Source organism: Homo sapiens, chromosome 4, assembly GCF_000001405.40.
Source record: "Homo sapiens chromosome 4, GRCh38.p14 Primary Assembly".
In the NCBI taxonomy this organism is placed as follows: Eukaryota; Metazoa; Chordata; class Mammalia; order Primates; family Hominidae; genus Homo; species Homo sapiens.
In genome coordinates, this window is record NC_000004.12 from 12725954 (window position 1) to 12735093 (window position 9140).

Genomic DNA, 9140 nt, shown 5'->3' on the forward strand with positions numbered 1-9140 from the left:
AAAAAGAATGGAATAATCTCTTACTAGGAAAACACTGGTTGGTGAGTGGTAAATATCCATTTTCATAAGGAATACTAATTCTTCCCTTAACATTGCACATTGCATTATGTCCGCTAGTGAAATAAAAATGCACACCTGGCTGGGCGTGGTGGCTCATGCCTGTAATCCCAACACTTTGGGAGGCCGAGGCAGGCAGATCACCTGAGGTCAGAAGTTTGAGACCAGCCTGGCCAACATGGTGAAACCCGGTTTCTGCAAAAATACAAAAAAAAAGAAATTAGCCAGTCATGATGGCGGTTGCCTGTAATCCCAGCTACTCCGGAAGCTGAGGCGGGAGAATCGCTTGAACCCGGAAGGCGGAGGTTGCAGTGAGCTGAGATCACACCATTCCACTCCAGCCTGGGTGACAGAGCGAGACTCCATCTCAAAAAAAAAAAAAAAAGAAAAAGGGACGCCTTTATTTTTCTAGAGTTGTACTTGAGCACACCAGGAACCGCCTTGCTGTTACTTTCATAGTATTGCATATTGCCTTCATCAATGGTTTCTTAAATAGGTTTTGTTGTTTTGTGGCTCTCGTTATAATTGTACTCACTGGTATGTCACACTTAATTGTGCCTACTGGTTTGTGGTTATATGAAGATGGCAAAATGGTTTTTGTTTCCCACACTGTCACACTTGCTGAAGGAAGAGAGAGACAGAGAGCGCACCAGAGAGAAAGAAAGATCTGTGTATGAAATCACACCCCCAAATTTATCAGCAGTATAAAATTATCATTGATCTGATTATTTAATTATATAAGTGATTGCATCTAAAGCCAGGTAGCTTGGGCTGCCTTCACTTTCTCCAAAACCCACATGTGTCTGAAGTCTTCTTAACCTCAACACAGAAGAAAGCCAGTTGGAATTAAATAACTATCAAGCCTAGGATGAAAATGGCAAGACCCCAGTTGGAAGAGGATCAGGTCTAAATGACAATGTGAGAGTCAGGGAAAGATGAACCCCAAGGCAGAGCGTTTCTGAGGGTCCAAGAAAAGGCACCTCTTAGGCAGCCCCAAAAGTTGCAAGCAAAGCCCACCATGCCTTATTCTGTACATTTTTCAGGACCCCAGCTAACCACAAACATGATCTGCTTGCTTTCAATTTTTAGGGTTGATAGTGGAGCTTTCTATAGTGGAGCTGCTGAGACCATCCTGCCATTCCAAGATTAAGAGCACAGCAAAGGGCTTACATAACATAACATTTAGAAAATCAACCAAATGACGTAGTAAGTTGCATACATGCTTTCAAGATCTAAAAGTGCTTTCCTTCATGGAGTACTCACCACAGGGTTTTTAGGTAAGCTAAAGCAGGTATACTAAGCCCGACTTTATAGACATGGACGATTAGCATTCGGAAAGATGTTGAAAGTAGTACAAATGGGTGAGACAGTTATAGAACCTGGGTCAACTAACAACCCCTTTCACACTGTGGTTTTAAAATATGTAAAAAAGAACAGTATTTGTTAAAACTTGGTGTAGGATTCTAGGCATTAGTTTTCAGAGCATATAAATCTCTACATCTGAAATTTATTAACGAGAAACACTACAGTGGATTCGCAAGTAAGCTATGCTCACTTGATGAAACATTACAGAGGTATTAAAATAATCATCATAAATATTGAATTATAGTATAAAAATGCTTAAAATAGTAATAGTATGCGCAAATAGTAAGTGAAAAAACTCAGGATACAAAATTACAAGATCGCTGTATATAGGCCTATAAAATATGGTTGTGTATAATGAAGACAGGAAGAAAATAAAACTCAACATTCATTGTGGTTGTGTTATGGTGGGATTAGGAATGCTTTTTTTCTTTTTTCTTTTCTTCTCTGAACTTCTGAAATATAATGCCTTTATAACTTTTAAAATAATAAAATTATTATTACTATTAGTAATTATATATTAAAATGTAATACAATTTTATGTATTTTACATGAATATACTACATTTAATTTTTTTTATTATTGTGGAAAACACCCAATGCCCCTTTACTGTGACTGATTGGAAGAATCAGCTACATTGAACTGAATTGAGGGACTACAATTTTGCTGTTATTGTGGTTGACTCAAAGTAGTCAATCGTGATTCAGAGTATTAAATCAGAACACAGGTTTTCTTAAGTCATGATAGGTAGTTAGGTGGATAGATAGATAGATAGATAGATAGATAGATAGATATGCCTATATTCCACTTTAAAATACGAAGTTAGGGGGAAAATGCCCTCAATATGTCATTGAGATATTTTCCTATCTTCTAAGATGTCTTTTACTTAGAATCCAAACGATATGAAACAATTTTGAAAATTCAGAAAAGCAGATGTCATCACTCCTGACAGTGCCCTCATTCCTCTTTCTCCAGCATTTTTCATTTTTTCCCAGAGGAACTGCAGAGCCAAGCCCCTGGTAATGATCACCTGAGGTTTGGGATGATCTCATTAGTTCCAAGCAAGTGTTCAGCAAATGCTAAACAGGCATGCTGGGGAGCGCTGTTTGGAAGGTAATAAAACACTCATTAAGTCTGTGTGCCCATGGATAGCCTCCCAGTTTTGCTGATCTGCATGATGAATTTGCATATCCAGTTCTGAAATAGTAAATTATTCATAGTTGACACTGGAGGGGGAAACGACTGGAATCATTCCTATAATAATTGCTCTACTTTTGGGTGGGATGAGGTGGGGGAAGGAAATCTAACATGTCTCCCATTGTTGCTGCTTTCAAAGAGTGACCATATCCTTGAAAGCTCCACTAATAGAGAGAAAACGAGAGAAAATATAAATTAAAAAAAAAAAAGGGTTTTCAAATTTATTTTTTGTTAAACAGAAAGAAAGTGAAGAGGAAGGACGGAAAAGAAGGAGATGAGTGAGAAAATTCCTAAATCTCAAACGATCAGAATTTTTCAGCCACATTTCAAGGTTTTCATACTTAAAAGTATTTTCTCCAAATTATCACTACCTGGGGAAGAAGTGCTTCCTGTCACCATGCTGCCTTTTATCAATAAGAAATAGAAGGTTACAAGATTTCAGTAAGAAATAAGGAAAAGAAGTTGTTTGTTGACTAAACCAATTTTAGGCTCAAAAGAGGACACAGGTTGTCAACCATGATTCTATTGTAATCACAGAAATGTCAATGTTGGTTGATAGATTAGTCAATTGTTGGATTCATTCATTCACTCAAGAAACACTGAGCACCAAACCTGTCAGAATATATATTTTATATATTTATATTCAGTCCTACACTTTACTTTTTTGTGTTCTTTCTGTGTGTGAGTTCCCAGCCATTCATTTATACAGCATTTGCTTATAACCTATTGTGTGACAGGCACTGTATTAGGCTTTATAGCTTTGTGGGTGAGAGACACACACCCATACTTGAAAGTAGTCAAATAGTCATATATTTATAAGCTAATTACATATAATATGAAGTATTCTTTCTTTCACTAATTTGACTACTACCAAGAAGACCTGAATACTTGGCATTTTAAATGACCCAAATGTATAAAAATATTAAACTTAAAGTATAATAAAAAAAAAAAAATTAAAAAAAAAAAAATATTAAAAGCAACCAGCAGAGGGCAGAACACCCTAACAAAAGGGAGACGTGTCTCAAGTCCTAATGCTCTCTCTTCAGGTGGTATTATTGCCTGGTTCATGCTAATTTCTTGGGATCTTGGGAACACCCTTACAGAACCCAAGATTTGGTTCAAGGGCTACCAAGGTCTCCTAACTGCTTGTCCATCACTACATAGCCAGTATAATGGTTAGGAGCTCAAACTCAACAAAGACTTGGGTTTGAATCCTGTAATTTCCTTTACTGAAATGTGACCTAGGGTGAATTATTTAACATTGTGAACCTCAGTCTCCCGCTCTGAAAATGACAATTGTACTAATGCAGATTTTGTTTCATTAATCCTCATTTTGTTGCATTAGTGATAAAGAGACTGTTAAGAGAACTAAAAGACAATATACCTAGTAAATATATCAATTAGATTATTATGTCAAATATTGAACTTTTGAGGTCACTGTTGGGATCAGTCCTTGCTCCTTCAGCCTCATTGTGAAGAATAGGGAAATAAAGTTACTCTCTTTAGTAGCAAATTGGAGATTCAATTCTAGGAAGCAGGTAAATGAGGCAGCATTTACAGGAATTCTCCTGTATGCCAGGCTCTGTATCAGCCATTTTGGGCATTGTCCATTTTCATGCTGCTGATAAAGACATACTCAAGACTGGGTAATTTATAAAGAAAAAGAGGTTTAATGGACTCACAGTTCCACATGGCTGGGGAGGCCTCACAATCATGGCAAAAAGCACATCTTACATGGCAGCAGATAAAGAGGAAATGAGAACCAAGTGAAAGGAGTTTCCCCTTATAAAACCATCAGCTCTCATGACACTTATTCACTACCATAAGAAAAGTATGGGGAAACCACCCCCATGATTCAAATTATCTCCCACTGGGTCCCTCCCATAACATGTGGGAATTATGGGAACCACAATTAAAGATGAGATTTGGGTGGGGACACAGCCAAACCAGATTAGGCATCATCTCTTTTAATGCTCAGAAAAAGCCATTAAGTAGGTATTATTCTAGGTTTATACATGAGGCAACTGAGGCTCAGAAAAGCCAGGTTATTTGACCAAAAATATAAACCTAACAAGCAGTTTAAAATGTGATTTAGCCCTAGGACCTTCTGACTGGAGAGTCCACATTTTTCTATTGCACCACTAAGCTTACAGCAATGCCAGAATAACCTCTCAAAAGATTGACTTCAATCATTTAACTTCTTCACTGAAAACCCTTTATTGAATGGTTAATTGCTTGGATTATTCATTCATTTGTTCAATAAGTATTTACTGAATACTGTGTGCTTTACTAGATGTTGAGATTTCAGAAAGGAAAAATAATACAGTCTTTCTTCTCAAGGAGCTAAACTTACTGGGGCCAAATATATCAACAATTATCATTCAGGAGTGAAAAATATATATTTTTTTAACTTGAATAATATGACATACAATATAAAAAGTCTTATTTTTTGAAGGTATAAGCCAGGGTGGGGGCTGCTCCAATCTCTTTTTAAGACAGTATCTGCTATGATGAGTGGCTGGCCGACAGCCTTCAGATGTTACTTCCAGATCCACCAGGATGTTCACTCAAAGTCACACTCTCCTGGAGATGTGCCAGTCCAGGACACTCCTGCCCAATGCAGGACTCTTCTAATAGGCAGCCTCTACTCTAGACTCTCCTTTTGCCCTAGTGACACCTTCTAGGAGCTGCACTGTGGTCAGAAGCTCTTTCTTCCCAACCCATTCTCCCTCTCCCCGTTTGTAGGTATCAGAACTGCATCATGACCTAAAGGCTCTCCTTAACTTTCTCCTGTTCCCTCTACCCTTTATTCCTCATCAACACTTTCTCCAATAAATCTCCTGCAACTGAATTCCATTATGGTATCCGCTTTTCAGAGGACCTGCGCCATCACAGAGGCAAGTTGGCCAAATCTTCTTGGAAAAGTCAAAGATGAATTGTCACAGAGGGCACTTGAGTTTAGATTGCAGGACTTCACAACTAACATAAAGCCCACTATGGCCCATAGAGTAAGAAGTCTGGAAGTCTGCAAATGGTGACTTCTTTGATATACACACATACAGACACAGATACAGAAACACACACACAGACACACATCTTTGAGAATACAGTAGTTGTTTAATATGTCTCTTGAGAAAAGAAGTGACTGATCACGATGTCTAAAACAAACATGCAATGCCTGGAACAGGCAAGTCTTTTAACCCCCATGTCCTGTTCCTGCAGTTCCCTTTACCTGATTGATCATTCTTACTCATCTCCAAGACCATCCTATGGCCACATCTCAAAAGACCATGCAAAATGAGGCCTCTCCTTTTAATTTTCACAGAACTGTGCTTGGGCCAGCCTTACCCACATTTTACTTGCCTCATAGTATACTTCCCACTACACACATGTAGTGTGTACTATTTCACAGGTAAATCTTAAAGTCTAATTCTAAGAGACCTAGCCATGCTCCAAGCCAGCTGGATGTGGAGGAATAGTAGGCAAGGAAAGAGGGAAGGAGAGACTGCCTGAACATTACATCATCAGGACCAGCCTTCACTTCATAAAGGTTATTAGACCAAGAGACAGCCCCTGACCCATCATAATTGTCTCGTGGCCAGTGAAGAAGCCTGACATATAAAGTTGTGTTCAAACAAGGTCAAACTAGACTGATCATATTCTCTCAATCAAGAATATGAATAGGGCCAGGCATGGTGGCTCACTCCTGTAATCCCAGCATTTGGAAGGGGAGGCTGAGGCAAGCAGATCATTTGAGGTCAGGAGTTTGAGACCAGCTTGGCCAATGTGGTGAAACCTGGTCTCTACTAAAAATACAAAAAATTAGCTGGGTGTGGTGGCATGTGCCTGTAATCCCAGCTACTCAGGAGGTTAAGGCAGGAGAATCGCTTGAACCCGGGAGGCAGAGGTTGCAGTGAGAGGAGATCTCACCACTGCACTCCAGCCTGGATGACAGAGTGAAATTCCATCTCAAAAAAAAAAAAAAAAGAATCTGCGTAGACAAAAAACACAGAAAATTACAGAGTTGGCAGCGTGTGCCAATATATCAGATGGAATCGTGTAAGTCGTGAGGGTCACCGGTGTTCTGAAGTTATGGGAAAGCTGAATTTAAGAGTAAGAAAGCTAAAAATGAAAAGTCTCTTTAGTCAGAAATTTTAAAACAATTAAGTGGCTAATAAAGTGGGTCCTCAAGTCAGGTGCCTACATTCAAATTCCAGGCTTTGCTTTCACTGGCTTTATGACCTTGGCAAGCTATAGCCCTCTCTACTCCAATTTCTTCATCTGTAAAAGGAAGACAAACATAGCTTTCCCTCAAAGAACTCAGATGGGGACCTATGCTAATCAGCATGTCTCATCTTTAAGAAGGGGGAATAATTTGGATCCCTGCCAACCAGGAGAAGACAGTTTGACTCTTGGGGAAATGAGCTGCCCGCCTTACCATCAGCCATAAAGTCTAGAATGGCTGCAACAGCATTTTAACACCATATAGAGAACCTGTCTCAGGAAGAAGCCAATAAAATAAGGAGACTAGAGTCAAGTAAAGAATGGAGAACCAGGTCCTGTCAAGCACGTCTGAAGTCAGCCCTACATACAGGCTTTTCTGTCACGTGAGCCAATGTCATTTTCTCACAAGAAAGCGGATTAACTTTTATATCTCCTGCAAGCAGAAGAGGTGTAACTGGTGTGGTTGGTTTGCAGAGCTCCTTAGATCTCCAATGGACACCAATGGCTGGTCCCAGTGAGCACTAGATTTCTGCACTAGAAGTTCTTTTTTTTTTTTTTTTTTTAAGTGTCTCCTCTTTCCAGTTTCCTCTGTAAAATTCTGTTATATTTAAAAAATCCTAAGTGAGTCTATGTTCTTCAGATTCGAAGGTGACTGACTAGCCCATTGACTTGTGTTGACCTGTTCTCCCACTATATTATGATAAATGCAATTAATTATTCATCTTTTAATTTCCTATAATGGTGGTTACCAAACTGAGTGACCTATCAAGATGACTTGTGGAATTTCTGTAACAAATTTTGGTGCAGGGGCAACTTCACGAGTGTACAACCTGTGCGGTCACATGGGACTGCATGTTTAGAAGAGTCTTGCATTTGGGTTCATGCACTGCTGCCACCATCTTGGAATTCCTAATTTTTTTTTAACAAGGGATCCCCATGTTCATTTTTCCCTGGGGCCCACGAATTACGTAGTCAGTCCCACTTCTGTGCCTCACATTTCAAATTCTGCCTCAGAAACTCTGTGGCCAAGTCTAGGAATCAGCATTTTCCTCAATGACTCCCACAGGGTCTAACCTGCAACACTATCTCAATCTGTATCTGGTTAAATGAATTAAAAAGTTGAAAATAAACTAATTTGTTTAAATGCGCTTGAGGGAAACATGTTCATTCTTGTGAGTGGCTTTAGGCCTTGAACAGTCCATAGATTCAGAGATCCTGGGAGTTAGAAGGGTCTTTAAGATCCTCTTTCCAACTGCTTCTCTGTGAAATCTGTATATTTGAATCCCCAGGGCAGGTAAAAAACAAGCAAAAACACCAATGCCCATACCCAAGCCCAGATCTGAGAGGTCTGAATTTAGTTGCTCTGGGAGGGAGCCTGGAGATCATCATTTGTCAAAAGAGGTTTCTAGCATATAACCAGGTTTGAAGACTATTGAACTAGGGTAATATTTTCATTTGAGTAAATGAGAGACAGAGATTAAGTGACTTATCCAAGGTAATACTAAACACCAGGGACAGATCAATAGTAATTATTGAAGTCCATAGTTATGAGAGAGTGGTGGATCAGAAAATAGTTTGCATAATCTGTCCCTCCTTTCCCTTCTAGATACCTGTGATCAGAACTGGCATCCTGTCCACTTTGATTGAGACTGCTGTCCCCATCAAATGAGGCTGATAAATATTGTTAATTGATTCTATTCTGTTTCCTACTTTCACTTGCTCTAAGGAAATTGTTAGAGCAGAATCACTACCTACCACTAGTCATTAAGTCATATAGTATTTTAAACGGTGGATTAGAGTAAAAGGAACAAACGTATTAATGACTCCAAGTGTCATTAAAAATGGAGTCCACAGAGGTTGCACTGCAGAAAGACACCCCTGAGACCCTCTCTTGATAAACACAGCTGAACTAGAGCTCTGCCCACACCAGTGACTGTTTCTCTAGGCTTGGATTTAGTCTCAAGGTAGGTCATGAAAGGTCAGGGCAAGTCAGTTTAACTTCCCCAGTGGCCAAAGTTAGTCATCTAAAGCTTTGAGGTCACAGGTGCGGCACAGAAGAAAAATCAAAACAACTGAAAGGTCAGCTTTTTTTGTCTTCTAGGCTTGACTATGTGAATTTACAGGAAGCCAGGAACAGAAAGATTAAAAGAGGAGAGAATGCTTACTTTTCCTCATCATAGTTATCAAGTTGTGTTATAACTGTTAATTTACTTGTCTGCTATTCTCACTGAAATTTTAACCATTTATTAGACTGAGGAGCCCTAGTATCTGCAACTGCAGATGAAACATAGAAGAGGATA